A 17,122-nucleotide genomic window follows, 5' to 3' on the forward strand; every position below is an offset into this window, starting at 1 on the left:
TATTTTTATTCTTTTTGATTTGTATTTGCTTTTACAATTCTCCTGGCTATCTGGGTAATTACATGTGTCTTTGTGTTGGCGGGGGTACAGGGGGAGATTCAGCTGCAGCACAGGCCGGCAAAGTGACAAGTGTAGCAAGATGCTGCGCTGAGGGCTTGGGAGACAGAGGGAGGGGCCTCGAGCCCAAGAATGCCTGGGAAGCAGCTCTTCCAGCCAGAAAAGGCAAGGAAGGATTCTCCCCTAGAGACTTTGGAGGGAGTGGGGCCCTGCCGACACCTTGACTTTGGCCCAGTGAAACATTCTGGGCTTCTGACTTCCAGCCGTGTAAGATAATAAATGCCAGTTATTTCAGGCCGAGCTGGTGGTCATTTGTTAGAGCAGTCCTAGGAATCTCATCTAGGTGTGAAGCTATTTTAGAGGGGTTTGTTGGGAAGCGTGTTTTGAGGCGAGGAGACTTCAGCCAAAATCTGAATACAGTGAAGAACGGAAGTCCATGCGGACCTGGAGGAGGATCGTCTAGGCAACTCCAAAGGCCCTAAGGTGGAAATGAGTGGCGGCTGCTGGGGCAGTGTCTGGCAGGCGCATGGAGGTCTGCAGGAACCCTGCAGGCCATGGCCGCGGGTTGGATGTCAGTCCAAATGTTAGCAGGAGGCGTCGGAGTTCCCTAGCAAGGGAGCTGCTTGATCTGATTCATGTTTAAAGGGCCAAGCTGGTTAAGTGGAGACAGGACTTTATGGGGCCAGAGCGGAGGCAGGAGGAGTGGCTGGCCACTGCTGCAGAGTCCTGGTGAGGGAGACTATGGTGCAGGGGTGGGGGATAAGGGTGGGAAGCAGGCCTCACCGTTATGGGGCACACGCATGTACCAGTTTCCTCTGCAGGAAATCTGAGCCATCTACCTGATACTCATTTTACCAGCTGGATTCTTTTTTCTTTTAGCAAGAGACTCTGGGAACTAGATATGCGGCAGGAAAGCATCTTGTGTGGTGGAATTTGGGGACTGACATTTGATCTCAGCCCAGGGCTACTCTTACAGCGTGCGTCCCTGTCGTGCATTATACATGTTTTCATGCACTTAAAGATATTTTTAGAACTGCAGAAGTAGAAGCACTTTGATCTTTTCCTGAATAATTTTCACATGACTTAGCAGGCCTCCTTCCACCTGAGATGGGAAACCTTGGAAAGTGAGGGGGCCTTCTTCAGTGTGTGCCACTGTAGGGGTTTTTCCTCAGCCCCCCTAGATTTGTGGTTGGAACGGACTCCTGTTACAAAAGACAGATTAACAAGAGAAAAACCAGTGGAAGTTTATTAACATGTGTATTTCACATCTGCCTGGGAGACACGCAGGAATTGAGTAGTTCTCAAAGTGGTAGCTTTGAATTCCAGCTTGTATAGCATCTTCAACAAAGAAAAGCCAAGTTTTAGGGAAGCGACAGGACAAAGGAAAAGAACTTTGAGTGTCTAAGGGGAGAACTTGTAGAAAGGTAAGTAACTGGCAGATAAATAGAGTTAGTAAAGCGCCTTCATGTCCATTCCTCTGGTTCCAGCTCCAGGCCCATAAGAGTCTAAAGTTGTCTTCAGTGGTTAACTTTTCCCTGGTCGAGAGAGGGAGCAGACCCCTTTTATCCTTCTAAATCTATATCCTGCATTTAGGCAGTGGAGGGCAGAGAGCTTTCTTCCATTTACTTTTTCACTGCCTTCAAGCTCAACAACCCTTCATCTTTCGGGGCCTCCCCAACTGCGTTCTCTTGGTGCTCTCCAGCTGGGAAGGCTCAAAGGATGGGAAGTGTGTACAGCACGTACCTGTGACTGCTACCAGAGATTTGCCCCTCCTCAGGGTCAGTGAGGGATGTGCTTTCTGCTTCCTCCCCAGACTGCAAACCCCTGGAAATTAGCTGCGTGAGAGTCTTGCATATTTGCCGTAGGGATGCGGCAGGAGGTAACGGAGATGATAGTCAAGGGAAGGTTCATTAGAGCAAATTGATCCTCAGTCTCCTCCAGCTTTCCACAGTCATCCATCCAGAAATTATCAACAAGCGCTTGTTTTTATTTTGTAGTAGGTACCAAACCAAGAGTTATTTCCGTAGTTAAATAAGCGTTAAAAGTCTTCTCAGCACCCTCTCACATTGTGGGAAAACTGCACAGACCACCTCTGCCTGACTCATGATGAGGCCGGGCACCTGGCACAGTGGCAGATGGTGGGCACTGATTAAATATTTGTTGGATGTATGAGCAAGTCCTGTGGGGGGAGCTGGAACTGTATGTCTGCAAGAAGTGGGTGCAGTTTTCCCTCTTCCAGATACAGGGCCACTTCTGAACAATACTTGGGTGTCTTCACAGAGGATTTCTGGAGACACTGTTCCTGTCACCCCCTGGCATGCCAGCCCACTTTGCATCTAATCTGATAATGGGAGCCAGGCACTGTTGGAGGGGAAAATTGATCCTCCCAGGGGCCCTATCAATATTCGCTGTCCAGTGGGCCCCTTCCTGTCCAGCCCTTTCTCCGGCTAGCTTGTCAAAAGCTGAGACCGTCTCCACTGGGCTAGGCCATTGGGCCATTTGGCTGGTTGCTGGGCCATCCTCCAAGACATTTTGAAGGGTGAAGTCTCAAATACCAAGGCCTTAAGCTTCCAGCTGGCATAAAGGCTCAGGAATCCCTTCGCAACTCCTTTGCCACTCATTTTCTTTCTGCAGAGTGAAGGCACAGTCATACTTAGTTTCCTCTGGCGATGCTAAAGAGGAAGTTACAGCAGGTGGTTAACTCCTGACTGGGAGAAGAGACATTTCCTCTAATGGAGGCTGGGGAGAGAGAAAGAAGGTTAGGGCCTTGTTTAATGAAGAACCTTTCTGCTATGAAAGACGGATTACAGACAAGGAGAAGATACTTTGTGAGTCTATGAAGGAATTCTGCTTCGCAGGCTCTTGCAGGAACGTAGGGATCAAGTGGAATTTTAGGAATGGAGAAGCATTAGATGTCCAAACTCACTCGTTAACCCTGGGGGATCCCACGCTTACCCTGTGCCCAGGCCAGCACACATGCAACTTTAGTGGTTAACATTGAGGACACAGGGGCACTGCTTGGGTTCAAATCAGCCACTATCCCGCTGAGTGGCCTTGAGTAAGTTCCTGAACATTTCAGAGTCTCGGTTGTTACATTTGTAAAATAAGGACCAGAAGAGTATTGCATAGGGTTGTTGAGTGGATTAAATGAGATATGTATGTGAGGAGTTTATCACCATGCCTGACACAAAGTAAAGCCTCCCAAAATGTTAACTAATAAATTACTAAGTATTTAGGTAAAAACTGGAGCATCTTCTTATTGTACTGTTGGTAGAAAAATTCATTCTTCCGTAACTACTAAACTTGGCCTATATTCCACAATATGCTATAACCATATTTTCAGAACCCCCAAACTATATGATATGACAAAGACTTTTTTCATATTTGTGAATTTTATTTTATAAAGTATAAAAGTTGGGCTGGGTGCGGTAGCTCACACCTGTAATCCCAGCACTTTGGGAGGCCAAGGTGGGCCGATCACCTGAGGTCAGGAGTTCAGGAGTTCAAGACTAGCCTGGCTAACATGGCAAAACCCCATCTCTACTAAAAATACAAAAATTAGCCAGGTGTAGTGGTGCGTGCCTGTAATCCCAGCTACTAGGGAGGCTGAGGCAGGAGAATCACTTGAACCTGGGAGGCGGAGGTTGCACTGAGCTGATATTGCACCATTGCACTCCAACCTGGGTGACAGAGCTAGACACTGTCTCAAAAAAAAAAAAAAAGTATAAAAGTTAAGTAGTTAATGTACAGATTAGTCAACTTGACTGGGACAGGTAAAATAAGACCTGAATGAATGGAGTGGAGAGAATGAATCTTAAAGACAATCACGTTTTTAAAACATTGACAAGAAATTCTAAAGTTCATTTTGTTACAAAACTGAACTGGGGTCTACTTGCCCGGCGCAGTAAGAGGAAACACCAACACTGAGGTTGTGCATCCGGAGAAAGGAGCACATTTATTTGCAGGGCACCAAGCGAGGAGAAGTGGGTCATACTTAAGATACAACCTCTTCGATGGTTTACAAGCAAGGTTTTTTTTTTCCCCCAGTCGGAGTCTAGCTCTGCCGCCCAGACTTGAGTACAGTGGCATGATCTTGGCTCACTGCAACCTCCGCCTCCTGGGTTCAAGTGATTCTCCTGCCTCAGCCTCCCGAGTAGCTGGGATTACAGGCTCCTGCCACCACGTCCAGCTAATTTTTGTATTTTTAGTAGAGACGAGGTTTCACTGTGTTGGCCAGGCTGGTCTTGAACTCCTGACTTTGTGATCCGCCCACCTCGGCCTCCCAAAGTGCTGGGATTACAAGCATGAGCCACTGGGCCCGGCCACAAGCAAGTGTTTTTAAAAGCAGGGGTAAATTTCAGGAAAGGAGAAGTTATGGGCAAAATCGTGAATTGATACATGGAGGTTATGCACTGGTTTAGCCTCAAAGGGCAGGGTATTTTGAAGGAGGAGCCTTAAAGGTCATACATGAATTCAAAGACTCTGATTTGTGATAAGTTAAGGAAGCAAAGCTTTGCCTAAAACCTTGGGGTTAGCAGAAAGGAATGTTCAGGTCTGGTCCAACTTCCATCAGGATCCTCAGGAAGAAATTTAGAACAAAGAACAGCAGAGCTTAGTCCTCAGTTCCCTCTTGTCTGAGGTCTGCAGGCCAGGGCATCCACTTGGGAGGGGGGCCCAGGTTTCTGAAGAGCAACTCAGGGACATATATTAAGATGTTATCTTTAGTTTCTATAGGGAACCAAACATTTTGTGACTGTAACTTCCTTGTTTTAAGCTACAGTTACCTTCTTGTTTATTAGGTTGCTAGCTGGGTGCCTGGAATTTCCCTTGAAGGAATTCAAGATTTTCCTTTATTTCCATGCTTGCCCCCTCCCCACTTCCTGCAGGCCTGTAAGAGGGGTGCCGGCTCCATGTCAGTTTGGAAGAATAAATGAAGTGATTCTAGCCAAGAAGTTATGAAGAATAAAAAAACCCAGAATCTTTGTGTAGGGGAAGTACTTAAACTACCAGCTACCAAAACTTATTTTCTGTGATAAAACTGCAGACATTCAATGTAGTTTTAGGTTGCGGGTAGCCTCTCTAAACATAACTCTAAAGGCAGAAACCATAAAGGAAGACTGCTAAGTTTTGGCACATTAAAACAAAACTTTCTCGCCGGGCACGGTGGCTCATGCCTGTAATCCCAGCACTTTGGGAGGCCAAGGCGGGCAGATCACGAGGTCAGGGGATCGAGACCATCCTGGCTAACACAGTGAAACCCCGTCTCTACTAAAAATACAAAAAAATAGCTGGGCGTGGTGGCGGGCACTTGTAGTCCCAGCTGCTCGGGAGGCTGAGGCAGGAGAATGGCGAGAACCTATGAGACGGAGCTTGCAGTGAACCGAGATCACACCTCCCTCTACACTCCAGCCTGGGAGACAAGCCAGACTCCATCTCAAAATAAATAAATAAATAAATAAATAAATAAATAAATAAATAATAAAATAAAAATAAAACAAAACTTTCTTATGCTCGCTTCAGCAGCACATAGACTAAAGCAAAACTTTCTCACATCAACAACTGAAAAGGTAGGCCGGATGCAGTGGTTCACATCTGTAATCCCAACACTTTGGGAGGCTGGGGCGGGAGGATCGTTTGAGACCAGCCTGGGCAACACAGTGAGACCCCATCTCTACAGAAGAAAAACATTAAAATAAAATAATTAGCTGGATGTGGTGATGTGATCCTGTAGTCCCAGCTACTCAGAGGCCGAGGTGGGAGGATTGCTTGAGCTCAGGAAGTCCTGGCTTCAGTGAGCCATGATAGTGCTACTGCACTCCAGCTCTGGTGACAGAGTGAAACCCTGTCTCAAAAAAAAAAAAAAAAAAAGTTAACAAGTACGAGGAAACACGTCTGCAACAAACATGACAAGTCTTTAATACCTGTACTTTATGAGTGCCCCCCAAACAATAAACCAACTCCCCAACTTTTAAAATGGGCAAATAGAAAAGTGGGCAAATGGACATAAACAAATTCACAAGAGAAAATAAAACTGGCAAAAAATAACCATGTGAAAAAACAATCCAGCTAACTAGTACTCTAAGAAATGCAAGTACAAAAGATGAGAAATAACCATTTCAAACTAAATTTTTTTTTTAAAAAAGTCTGTGTTGTCAAGTATATGGAAAATGGGCATTTCTCAGGGAAAACTAATACGTTTTCCTGGAAGATAATTTAGAAAACATTTAAAAAATATATTCCTTTTATACAGCCATAAATAATCATGTTTAAAAGAATATCTAATAAAATGGAAGAAAATTCACAAGATCGTGTTAAGTGAAGAAGGCAGAATACATCTTCGCAAGGCATTATTCCAATTATGCCAGACATGCCATGGATATACGTAGAGAAAACACCGGAGGCAACATACCAAAATATTAAATGTAATTGACTCTACGAGGTAAAACTGAGTTTTATGTTCCCCTATTTCCTATTTATGCAATAGATTTAAAAAGTATTTTTACGACTAATTATACAATTCAAAAATTGCCTGTGTTGAAAAGCATGAAAGTACATGAAATTGTACTACCCTGGAAACCCCAGGAAGTGTTTAGTTTGGAAAGCCAGGGCCACCTGCTAGTGGGTGAGTCATGGGCACAGGCTCGCACCTGCCACCGCAGACGCCACACAGGCTGCTGAGCCTTTCCAAGCGAAATGCCCCACGTGCGCCAACGGCCACCTCGGCCGTCGCCCCACGCTTGGCCCGCAGCCAGAGGAAGCCCAGCAACTTCTGCTCTTTCTTAATTTCTAGAAAAGAGTGAAGAGAGGCCTTTTCAAAGTTCGCAGGATCGGGCCTTTTTGTGCTCCACTTTGGAACAAATCGGAAGCTAGGGCCTTCCAGGTGCGCCACCGCCGTCCCGGGACCGCCGCGGCCGCAAGCGTCCGCACTGCGGCCGGGGTGCGCGGCCTGAGAAAGGCCCGGGCAACGACGCTCCGGGGGCTTGCCGGAGCCCTCTTTGAAGTCTCCCGACGGGCTCCCAGCCTCTCATAAGGCAGCTAAGGCCGAACACCCCGGTGACCATAGGCCAGCCACGCGGTCGCCCGGGGACGCGCGTGCTCCGCAGGGACAAAGGGTCGGGAAACTTGAGCTCCGGCCAGTCCCAGAGAAACCCGGGCTGGTGGTCGCCATGGCAACGGAGTCCGACCCTCCGAGGCCTGCCGCCCTGGCGCGGCAGTGGCTTGAGTGACCCGGCCCGCTCTTGGCGGGGGCGCCCGCGCCCCGGCCCCGGCAGTCCCTCCCCGCCCCCAGGCCGCGGCCGCGGGAGCCGGCGACTGACCCTCGGCAGCTCCTGTAGTCACGTGGCGCTGGGAACCCGGCGGGGGGAGGTTGGGGACGGGCCTGGCAGTTGTGAACTCGAACCTGCCGCTGTCGCCGCGGCGGGGCGGGGAGCGAGAGTGGGCCGCGGAGGCCGGCCTTCGGGCTCCATGGACGGGCGCCGCGTCCCTGCACAGCCCGCCGCAGAGGTACGGCCGGGGCAGGGGCGCGGGGCCACCGCGGGCCCGCGGGGGGCCGCTCCACCTGCGGGGCGCGTGACCGTGAGTGTGCGCGACCGTGTGTGAGTGCGCGGGGGGGGACGCTGCTGGATCTGCGGGGGTGGGGGAGCGCACCTGCGCACAGGCTCCGCGAGCTGCGCCGTGCGTGGGACCCGAAATGGCTCACTCGCAAGAACGGGACCCGTGTGCCCGGGAGCGTGGACGGAGGACACGCATCAGTACAAAAGGGCGGTGTGGGGCTTCTGCCACCCGCGGCCAGCCGCGATGCGGAAGGGGATTCTGACGGAGTCGTGGTCACACCAGCTGGCCCTGCGCAGCCCCATGGGAAATAGGCCTGGAATTCCTGTCGGGAGGAGGCTGGGGGAAGGGGAGCCAGCAGGGATTCCAGAGTTCCTGCCATAGGCCGGCCTTTGGCCATCAGGGAAAGCCCAGACTCTGGCCACAGAATGGAGAATTCGTTCCGTGACCTTACCAGGGAAGAAAGTGACCCCGAAAGACAGCAGTGTGCTTCCTTGTTGAAGGGGCACATTCATTTATTAATCCAATGTCCATTAAGGTCACTCTGCCAGGCAGGATGTGGGGCTTATGGCTGGTGCGTGTGGCTTTGTGGGGGGAGGGGTTGTGGCTGGTGAGGACACAAAGCTGACTGCCCTAGAGGAGCTCAGAGCCTCACTTCTGTTTTCTCTTCCCTCCCCACAGGTAAGGCTGGCCTCTCTGCAGTCAGAGGTCTGAGCTCTGCCATGGGGATAGGGGTGTCTTTATTACTGCAGTTTTCTCTAACACCTGGGGGCTACCGGAGTGTGGGCCGAAGCAGGCGCTGCAGCCGCGGAAGTATCCCCAGGAACATCCCCAAGAGGAGCTGGAAAAAGCCTCATCCCCAGCTCTGCAGTCTCCAGGGTAGAGTCTGGCCTTTGCTGTGCTCCCAAACCACGCCACAACAGGGGTGCACGGGCGTCCCCATCCCGGCGGAAGGAAATGGCCCTTTCTCATATCCTGGGGTCTTCCCTGTGCACAGTCTGACACTGGGAATGAGTGACCTTTGTGTTCCCTGAGAAGAGAGAGTGCGCTCTAGGGAATTTAGAAGGATGTGTCTGGAGCTTGTGAGCAGGCACAGAAGGGCCCTTAGGAGCCTAACTGCTTCCTTCCTCCTTCCGCGGAGGAGGCTCCTGTGCAGGAATCTGGGCTCCCCTGAGCTGTGGAAGAGCTGAACATGGGGCAGCCCCTGGCGAGGTTGGGGCAGGACCGGGCAGGGGACTGAGATTGCAGTCTCATCTTCCCTCCCCTTCTATTGCCCCAGTAATCTCCAGCACCCCGAGGGAGGCAGAGCCGGTGATCAGGCCCCGAGGGCAGCAGGCTGTGGGTGTTCCTTGGATTCAGGGAGAGCCTTCCTTCCTGCAATGTCCTAATTTGTGTGGGTGGAAGAGGGCAGGCGGGCAGAATGGGGGCACAGTCTGGGCAGGCGGTGGTCTGGCGTTAGACTGCCGGGAGTAGCACCCAGGGCTCTGCTCCTGTTCCCCGAGAAGGGCTGTTCTCACTTGTCCTCCAGCCTCCTACGGAGACTGCAGTTAGTGATGCTGAAAGTGCCTCCCCTGTGGGGCTAGGAATGAAAAGCTATAGACACCTTTTTCTCTGAGATCTTTGCAAACCCAGGCGCTTTAGAGGAAAGAACACTGGCCTGGGAGTTTAAAGACCTGTTCCCTAGTCTTGATTCTGCTGTTGGCTTACTGTGTCACCTTGGGCAGGTCTCGTCATCTTTGATGTCTCACAGTTGCTTCATCTGTTAAACAGGGAGCTCAGTGTCTGTTTGTCCAGCTTCTCAGAGTTGCTGTGCAGCTCGGATGTGGCATAGGAAACAGCAGACACAGGGAGAGGGCAGCATAAGGCACTGTAGGGAGCAGTGGCCACATTTTCTGGTGAGTCCTGTGGCAGGAATGTTTGTGCATTCAGCACTGGAGCATTTACTCCCTGTCTGACACTGGGGTAGCTGCCATGAGGGGGATTCTAGTATCAGAGTCCCTCCCTTCTGGAAGTTTCCAGGGCAACAAAGACATAAGACAAACATCCTTGAAATGTTATCTAAAAACCCAAGATTGAAATAATACATACCACACAAGGAAACAGGAGAGTAGTCTAGCTCCATGTCCGGGGCTCTAGGGGTTCATAGATGGCAGCTCCTGTCCGGGGCTGAGGTTGGGAGGGGAGAAACAGGGGCAGAGTGAGTTGGTCTCTGGAGTGACTGTGCTTTTCCACCCTCAGCAGAGGAAGAACCGATGCTGGAACGTCGTTGCAGGGGCCCCCTGGCCATGGGCCTGGCCCAGCCCCGACTCCTTTCTGGGCCCTCCCAGGAGTCACCCCAGACCCTGGGGAAGGAGTCCCGCGGGCTGAGGCAACAAGGCACGTCAGTGGCCCAGTCTGGTGCCCAAGCCCCAGGCAGGGCCCATCGCTGTGCCCACTGTCGAAGGCACTTCCCTGGCTGGGTGGCTCTGTGGCTTCACACCCGCCGGTGCCAGGCCCGGCTGCCCTTGCCCTGCCCTGAGTGTGGCCGTCGCTTTCGCCATGCCCCCTTCTTAGCACTGCACCGCCAGGTCCATGCTGCTGCCACCCCAGACCTGGGCTTTGCCTGCCACCTCTGTGGGCAGAGCTTCCGAGGCTGGGTGGCCCTGGTTCTGCATCTGCGGGCCCATTCAGCTGCAAAGCGGCCCATCGCTTGTCCCAAATGCGAGAGACGCTTCTGGCGACGAAAGCAGCTTCGAGCTCATCTGCGGCGGTGCCACCCTCCCGCCCCGGAGGCCCGGCCCTTCATATGCGGCAACTGTGGCCGGAGCTTTGCCCAGTGGGACCAGCTAGTTGCCCACAAGCGGGTGCACGTAGCTGAGGCCCTGGAGGAGGCCGCAGCCAAGGCTCTGGGGCCCCGGCCCAGGGGCCGCCCCGCGGTGACCGCCCCCCGGCCCGGTGGAGATGCCGTCGACCGCCCCTTCCAGTGTGCCTGTTGTGGCAAGCGCTTCCGGCACAAGCCCAACTTGATCGCTCACCGCCGCGTGCACACGGGCGAGCGGCCCCACCAGTGCCCCGAGTGCGGGAAGCGCTTTACCAATAAGCCCTATCTGACTTCGCACCGGCGCATCCACACCGGCGAGAAGCCCTACCCGTGCAAAGAGTGCGGCCGCCGCTTCCGGCACAAACCCAACCTGCTGTCTCACAGCAAGATTCACAAGCGATCCGAGGGGTCGGCCCAGGCCGCCCCCGGCCCGGGGAGCCCCCAGCTGCCAGCCGGCCCCCAGGAGTCCGCGGCCGAGCCCACCCCGGCGGTACCTCTGAAACCGGCCCAGGAGCCGCCGCCAGGGGCCCCGCCAGAGCACCCGCAGGACCCGATCGAAGCCCCCCCCTCCCTCTACAGCTGCGACGACTGCGGCAGGAGCTTCCGGCTGGAGCGCTTCCTGCGGGCCCACCAGCGGCAGCACACCGGGGAGCGGCCCTTCACCTGCGCCGAGTGCGGGAAGAACTTCGGCAAGAAGACGCACCTGGTGGCGCACTCGCGCGTGCACTCCGGCGAGCGGCCCTTCGCCTGCGAGGAGTGCGGCCGCCGCTTCTCCCAGGGCAGCCATCTGGCGGCGCATCGGCGCGACCACGCCCCCGATCGGCCCTTCGTGTGTCCCGACTGCGGCAAGGCCTTCCGCCACAAACCCTACCTGGCGGCGCACCGGCGCATCCACACCGGCGAGAAGCCCTACGTCTGCCCCGACTGCGGCAAAGCCTTCAGCCAGAAGTCCAACCTGGTGTCGCACCGGCGCATCCACACGGGCGAGCGGCCCTACGCCTGTCCCGACTGCGACCGCAGCTTCAGCCAGAAGTCCAACCTCATCACCCACCGCAAGAGCCACATCCGGGACGGCGCCTTCTGCTGTGCCATCTGTGGCCAGACCTTCGACGACGAGGAGAGACTCCTGGCCCACCAGAAGAAGCACGATGTCTGAGACGGTGGGCGGGGCCGTGTTGGCTGAGAGAGGGCTGGGGTCCTTCGTGGTGGGAGTCGCAGTGGGCTGGGGGTGCCTGCCTAGTGCTGGAGTAGGGGACAATGGGAATCCTAGAGGGGATGGAAGACGCGGGGAGTGAGCTGGGTGGGCCCTGCTAGCGAGAGAGGTCAACCCCGGTGGCCAGGGAACCCACTTCCAAGCGCAGGGACGCCGGCCTCCAGCTGGTGTGTGCTAAGGCTCCGTCCTGACTGCCCTGTGCCCTGGAAAAGCAGCAATAGCATCCGCCCCTTAGAGCCCTCTGGCTAGAGGAGCCACCAGTGGAAAGGAAGACCCTCCATCCTCTGGTATTAACGCCTTAATGCCCCTGTCTTTTACTGTAAGTTACTTAAGATCATTTTTGGAAGCAGGCGTGGTAGAGTCCTGTAAATGAATGCTCTGGGCTAGATACAGCTTGGAGAACCTGCTGGCCTTGTTAGACAGCACTTGGGCCTTTGCCAGCAGCAAGAGGTGAAGCGAAGCCACTCTTACCTCTCCCTTCCCCTCCCACCTGCCCCCTGCGTAGGCACCCAGACTTGGAGAGACCCGTCTGCTGTTAATACTTCCATCCTCTTCCTTCCCAAAGAGCAGATCCCAAGGCATTTACTCCTTGGTCTGTCTCGCTTTATCTGTCGCCCCTCCCAGCGCTGAGAGCCTCCCCTGGCTGTCAGCAGCACTGTGTCCAGGCTCTTGTCTGAACACCGCAGCCCCTCCTTCGCTCCTTCCAGAGCTCAGCATGTCACGGCAAGGACTGCCGCATTGGTGATGGAGGGCCAGCTGAGGGGAAGTTGCTGGTGAGTTTCCTTTTCTCCATTTCTAGCATATGGACACCTGGCCTCTGCTTGAGCACTTAGGTGACAGGAACTTCCGCACCTCCTGAGGCCCTGGATGATTCTAATTGTTAGAAATTCTAATTGTTAGAAATCCTTCCTTATAATGAATGAATTCTGCTTTCCTATAATTTCTACCTATTGGGCCTTGTTCTGTTCTCTGGAACTAAACAGAACAACCATTTACCCCTCCTTTTCAAACTAGAGAATAAAGATTTGGTTTTAGAACTGGTGGCTGGGGAGTGTTACTTTTTCTGGGGGAGCTGCGACATGTCAGGAGGAGCAGCATGCTCTCCTCCCTAGAAGGACGGGGGGCTGTGGGTGGGGCTCTGGCCACAGGCCACATGCCCAGCTTGCTGAGCTCTGGCCCCCTGCCTCAGTTCTTCCCTGAGCATACCCAGGCAGTTGGGCTAATTCTCTGGGTGGTGGGCCGAAGCTCCAGAGAACTGTGGTGGGTGGAATGCTCTCAGCTTGGTCCCAAGATTTATGTTCTTGGTCACTTGCCCTCCTAGATGGGCCCAGCAACACCTAATCTTTCTCACCACCTGGGCCTTTATGAAACTACAGCAAGCACTATGAGCTCTTTTGAGGGGTGCTGGGTGTTAAACGGACTTTGGTTATACTTGGACTGTGCCTCCAGTAGTCCTTCAGAGGTTGGACAGATGAAGGAGCCTCTGGGAGGGGAGGCTGTTCCCTGCAGCTAAGACAGCACTCAGCTTCCACACTCCACACACCAGGGTTTCAGCCTTCTTTGAGGTTGTTGTCAAACCCAGCCTGGGTCCACTTGCCCAGTGTTTGCAAAGCCTAACACCGACAGTGAGATTTGCAGCCAGAGAAAGTAAGGCGTTTATTGCAGAGCACCAGGCGAGGAGAATGGGCAGCTAAGGCTCAAACTCCCTGATGGCTTTTAAGCAAGGGTTTTTAAGGCAGGGGTGGGGAGGTTTCAAAGGGAGTTAGGGGCTGAGGAATTTCTGGAACTTCCTTATCCATTTTCTGGTTCCAGTCTGTCTGAGGTCTACGTGCTGGCATTGTCACGTGGTGACATTGGTGGGGGTCCTGGCTCCTGAAAAACAACTCAAGGATATATGTCAAGATGTTATCTTTAGGCCAGGCATGGTGGCTCATGCCTGTAATCCCGGCACTTTGGGAGGCCGAGGTGGGTGGATCACCTGAGGTCAGGAGTTCAAGACCAGCCTGGCCAACATGGTGAAACCCCATCTCTACTAAAAATACAAAATTAGCTGGGTGTGGTGGCGGGCCCCTGTAGTCCCAGCTACTAGGGAGGCTGAAGCAGGAGAATTGCTTGAACCTGGGAGGCGGAGGTTGCAATGAGCTGAGATCGTGCCACTGCATTCCAGCCTGGGCAACAGAGTAAGACTTTGTCTCAAAACAAACAAACAACCCAAAAAACAAAACAAACAAAAAGATGTTATCTTTAGTTTCTATGAGGAAGCTAACATTCTGTGACTACTACTTGAGTGACTATTGTTTAAGCTATTATTACTTTCTTGCTTAGCGGGTTATTCATTCATTTCCCCAATTCATGGTTGTAGAGCTAGCTAGGTGCCTGGAATTTCCCTGGGAGGGACTCACATTTTTGTTTATTCTCATGCTTTTCAAGTGATGGGCAGAACCCAGCAGGCTCCTAAGTGGAGTCTCTGAGGCTGGGCGTGGTGGCTCACGCCTGTAATCCCAGCACTTTGGGAGGCCGAGGCAGGTGGATCACCTGAGGTTAGGAGTTTGAGACCAGCCTGACCAACATGGAGAAACCCTGTCTCTACTAAAAATACAAAATTAGCCGGGCATGGTGGTGCATGCCTGTAATCCCAGCTACTCGGCAGGCTGAGGCAGGAGAATCACTTGAACCCAGGAGGCAGAAGTTGCAGTGAGCCGAGATCGCGCCATGGCACCCCAGCCTGGGCAACAACTCTGTCTCAAAAAATAAAAATAAAAAAAAATTAAAAAAGAGGGTCTCTGCTCCATCTCAAGGTCAGGTCAGACTTTTCAGGTGCTAGTTGCTAGGCAGGAAAGGGGGCTGATTTGATTCTGTCCTACAGTGTCCCTGGCCGGCCTGCTGTAGGACTCCAGATTTCTGTGAGCAGTCACTCTGTATGCGTCCCTGAATTGGTGGTTTCATACAAATTTGAGTACCTCTTTTTACCAGGCATTAATAGTTCTTTTCTTGCCTGTGTTAGCAATTTCTGCATATATCTCCAGCATTTAGCACAGAGCACATAAGAATAACCACAATTTGTTGACGTGAGTGGCACCTGGTGAAGTTTACCTAAATTATCTCATGTGTCCTTGTGTGGGAGGTAGTCTTCTTTTATACATGAAAACATTTGCCCACAGTCATATAACTGGTAATCACCAGAGGCAGATTCAAATTCAAGTCTGTCTGACTCCTGAAACCTGTGCTCTTGACAACCGCTGTGTGCTTAGTGGATGAACGCTGCGTGCTGCTGTTTTTGGTTAAGTATTAAATGCCAACTGTGTGGGTGGGGCTTAAAGTGTGTAGGATGGAAAGAACAGCTTCAAAGCTTCATATTGGTTTATGGGGTTATGGAGCCACTTAAAAACCTGTGTAGTTGATGGCAAATTATCTGTCAAAGCCTGGGAGCAGAGGGCGTGGTCTCAAGAAAGCCCCAGTCACATTTTTTCTCTTTGTGGGAACACAGGGTTTCCAGGGAAGGGGAGATGGCCAGGAAAGAGTAGGTCGATGTCTGGAAATGATGGGCAGGGAGCAGGGGCGGGTCCTTGGGTTGGCACCTAGGTTAGTATTGGAGCCGTTAGGGACAAGGATGAGGGTGAGAGGGGATCTGACCAGGGGTCCTAACCTTTTGAAAAGTCCCGTTTAAAGGAAATAGTCTGGGATATGGGGAAAGCGGGGTGTGGGTGTCGTCAGTGCTTCACTGCCCACTGCTTGTTATGGGGATGGGAAAGAGAGGTCCAAAGGACGGAAAGGTCACACAAGTGGCCTTGAGGGGGCTGGTAAAGCAGGAACAGAGTCAAATTGTGCCTGGTTCCTTCCTGAGTCCCTTGGTGGGTGGCCCAGTGGTTCTCAAGCCCTTGCTCTGCCTGGTTCATCACCACAGCAGTCACTGGGGAGGACTGCCTGGGTTGTAGGGGTCTGCTGGCAGGAGCTGCCCATCTCTTCTGAAGAATCCACAGTTTTTCTTTGTTTTCTTCTACAATTACAAAAGCATTAAATTATCTTTAAAAATAAATAATTCAGATAATAATGTGAACGTTCTCCTTCATTCCCCTATTCCACTCTCAAAATCCTTTTTGTTTACACTGAGAAAAGTTTGAGGAGTATTCTCCTAACACTTTTTTCCTGTGTATTTGCAAACACATATGCAGCCTCTCCCCCTGGTATTTTTTTTCTTAGTGGAAATAGGATCCCAGAGGTTCTCCATTCTTTCCACCTCTGAAATACCCTTGGTCATGGGATGCCAATCTGGAGGAAGTCTGCTCTGTAAGAAGGAAACAGGCCCAGAGAGTGGAAGTGACCCCCACCGGTGGGGGTCCTAATTTCTGAAAAACAACTCAAGGACATATGTCAAGATGTCATCTTCAGTTTCTATAAGGAAGCTAACGTTTTGTGACTCTTATTTGGGTACTATTGTTTAAACTATTACTACTTTCTTGCTTAGCAGGTCATTCATTCACTTCCCTAATTGCTGGTTGCAGGGCTAGCTAGGTGCCTGGAATTTCCCTTGAAGGGACTCAAATGTTTCTTTATTTTCGTGCATTGAATGGGGGGCTGGTGGCAGACCCCTAAGAGAGGTTCCTGCTCTGTCTCAACACTTGTAGCCAGTGGCAAATCTGGAACTAGAATACTGGTCTCAGCAACAGGAATGTATTCCACAAGCCTTCGTAGAACCTCTTCTAGGTACTCTTCTAGAAAATAAGCTAGGTGTGGTGGTGCATGCCAGTAGTCTCAGGTGTAGTTCAGGTGGGAGGATCCCTTGAGGCCAGGAGTTTGAGGCTGAAGTGCGTTATGATTGTGCCTGTGAATAGCCACTGTACTTTAACCTGGGAAACATAGCAAGACCCCGTCTTTAAAAAAATAAACAGGAGAATGAGACTCCAAAGTGTTGATAGCTAGTGATGTGTGGCCTCTTTATAGGGTGTGTATGATTTTGTATTTTACAAATCCTTCTATAGATAATATAACCAAATTAACGGTAAAAACTCAGTAAGGTATGCAGGCAACTAGAAAATTATTAACCCTATTTTATAGACGAATAAGTCAAAGTCCAGAAACAGAAAAGTATCTTTTATAAAAAGTACACATGAAGTTAGTGACAAAATCGAATCTCAGTCCCCAGTTCCTGCTGTGCTACTGAGGCTAAACCGCAGCCGGGCCTGTGGCAAATGTTTAATCAGCTGTTGACTGAAGAAAATAAGGTCCGCCTGCCCAACAGCAACCGTTTGTAGAGTCTCAGAGGCCCAGCTTCTGTCTGTATCTACCTCATGCCCCAGAGGCAGCTTCTAGCAGCTCCGGAGAGCATCCTGCCAGTGGGAGTTGACCCAGCTGCGCCCCCTTTGAGGGAGAAGTGTGAGGAATTTCCTTACAATGGGGTGGGGAGTTGCGAAGATACTCCTTCCTGAAGGTCTGGCAGTCTGGACCGGGGTGGCAACTGGGCGGAGATGATTCCGCTCACGGGAACCCTACCTAGTAACCCG

General features: G+C 52.0%; 1 protein-coding gene and 1 long non-coding RNA gene across 51 annotated transcripts, besides 10 other annotated features; one reads left to right on the forward strand and one right to left on the reverse strand.

Moving 5' to 3' along the window:
* Positions 1 to 1,276: 1,276 nt before the first annotated feature.
* On the reverse strand, positions 1,277 to 11,562 carry REPIN1-AS1 (REPIN1 antisense RNA 1). Of its 12 annotated transcripts, none has more exons than NR_183429.1 (4): positions 11,460 to 11,562; positions 9,697 to 9,774; positions 9,324 to 9,475; positions 1,277 to 2,796 (listed from the first exon to the last, which is right to left on the reverse strand). It is a non-coding gene; the product is annotated as an REPIN1 antisense RNA 1 (long non-coding RNA). The 12 variants fall into 12 exon arrangements; NR_183428.1 differs by having other exon boundaries at positions 1,277 to 2,685; positions 9,316 to 9,475; NR_183434.1 differs by lacking the exon at positions 11,460 to 11,562 and adding an exon at positions 11,112 to 11,200 and having other exon boundaries at positions 9,324 to 9,510.
* Positions 2,750 to 2,799: a silencer, noted in NCBI's record as "silent region_18775". NCBI's record gives its function as "represses an Ori minimal core promoter by ATAC-STARR-seq in GM12878 lymphoblastoid cells {active_cell/tissue: GM12878}" and the evidence as "EXISTENCE:reporter gene assay evidence [ECO:0000049][PMID:35858748]".
* REPIN1 (replication initiator 1) lies at positions 6,715 to 12,658 on the forward strand. Of its 39 annotated transcripts, none has more exons than NM_001362746.2 (4): positions 6,715 to 6,937; positions 8,290 to 8,487; positions 9,379 to 9,503; positions 9,847 to 12,658. In NM_001362746.2, the coding sequence occupies exon 4, from the start codon at positions 9,861 to 9,863 to the stop codon at positions 11,562 to 11,564; it is 1,704 nt and encodes a 567-aa protein (NP_001349675.1). In that variant the 5' UTR covers positions 6,715 to 6,937; positions 8,290 to 8,487; positions 9,379 to 9,503; positions 9,847 to 9,860; the 3' UTR covers positions 11,565 to 12,658. The 39 variants fall into 39 exon arrangements, with proteins under 39 accessions (NP_001349675.1, NP_001374976.1, NP_001374967.1 ...); NM_001388047.1 differs by having other exon boundaries at positions 9,850 to 12,658; NM_001388054.1 differs by lacking the exon at positions 6,715 to 6,937 and adding an exon at positions 7,441 to 7,652.
* Positions 6,915 to 6,974: an enhancer, noted in NCBI's record as "active region_26823". NCBI's record gives its function as "activates an Ori minimal core promoter by ATAC-STARR-seq in GM12878 lymphoblastoid cells {active_cell/tissue: GM12878}" and the evidence as "EXISTENCE:reporter gene assay evidence [ECO:0000049][PMID:35858748]".
* Positions 7,014 to 7,818: an enhancer, noted in NCBI's record as "H3K27ac-H3K4me1 hESC enhancer chr7:150065484-150066288 (GRCh37/hg19 assembly coordinates)". NCBI's record gives its function as "activates a minimal SCP1, AML or CMV promoter by ChIP-STARR-seq in naive H9 embryonic stem cells {active_cell/tissue: H9 hESC(naive)}" and the evidence as "EXISTENCE:reporter gene assay evidence [ECO:0000049][PMID:30033119]".
* Positions 7,225 to 7,694: a silencer, noted in NCBI's record as "silent region_18776". NCBI's record gives its function as "represses an Ori minimal core promoter by ATAC-STARR-seq in GM12878 lymphoblastoid cells {active_cell/tissue: GM12878}" and the evidence as "EXISTENCE:reporter gene assay evidence [ECO:0000049][PMID:35858748]".
* Positions 7,819 to 8,624: an enhancer, noted in NCBI's record as "H3K27ac-H3K4me1 hESC enhancer chr7:150066289-150067094 (GRCh37/hg19 assembly coordinates)". NCBI's record gives its function as "activates a minimal SCP1, AML or CMV promoter by ChIP-STARR-seq in naive and primed H9 embryonic stem cells {active_cell/tissue: H9 hESC(naive and primed)}" and the evidence as "EXISTENCE:reporter gene assay evidence [ECO:0000049][PMID:30033119]".
* Positions 8,205 to 8,354: a silencer, noted in NCBI's record as "silent region_18777". NCBI's record gives its function as "represses an Ori minimal core promoter by ATAC-STARR-seq in GM12878 lymphoblastoid cells {active_cell/tissue: GM12878}" and the evidence as "EXISTENCE:reporter gene assay evidence [ECO:0000049][PMID:35858748]".
* Positions 8,625 to 9,429: an enhancer, noted in NCBI's record as "H3K27ac-H3K4me1 hESC enhancer chr7:150067095-150067899 (GRCh37/hg19 assembly coordinates)". NCBI's record gives its function as "activates a minimal SCP1, AML or CMV promoter by ChIP-STARR-seq in naive H9 embryonic stem cells {active_cell/tissue: H9 hESC(naive)}" and the evidence as "EXISTENCE:reporter gene assay evidence [ECO:0000049][PMID:30033119]".
* Positions 11,957 to 12,076: an enhancer, noted in NCBI's record as "active region_26824". NCBI's record gives its function as "activates an Ori minimal core promoter by ATAC-STARR-seq in GM12878 lymphoblastoid cells {active_cell/tissue: GM12878}" and the evidence as "EXISTENCE:reporter gene assay evidence [ECO:0000049][PMID:35858748]".
* Positions 12,137 to 12,286: an enhancer, noted in NCBI's record as "active region_26825". NCBI's record gives its function as "activates an Ori minimal core promoter by ATAC-STARR-seq in GM12878 lymphoblastoid cells {active_cell/tissue: GM12878}" and the evidence as "EXISTENCE:reporter gene assay evidence [ECO:0000049][PMID:35858748]".
* Positions 16,938 to 17,097: an enhancer, noted in NCBI's record as "active region_26826". NCBI's record gives its function as "activates an Ori minimal core promoter by ATAC-STARR-seq in GM12878 lymphoblastoid cells {active_cell/tissue: GM12878}" and the evidence as "EXISTENCE:reporter gene assay evidence [ECO:0000049][PMID:35858748]".

This window comes from Homo sapiens, chromosome 7, assembly GCF_000001405.40.
Source record: "Homo sapiens chromosome 7, GRCh38.p14 Primary Assembly".
NCBI lineage: Eukaryota > Metazoa > Chordata > Mammalia > Primates > Hominidae > Homo > Homo sapiens.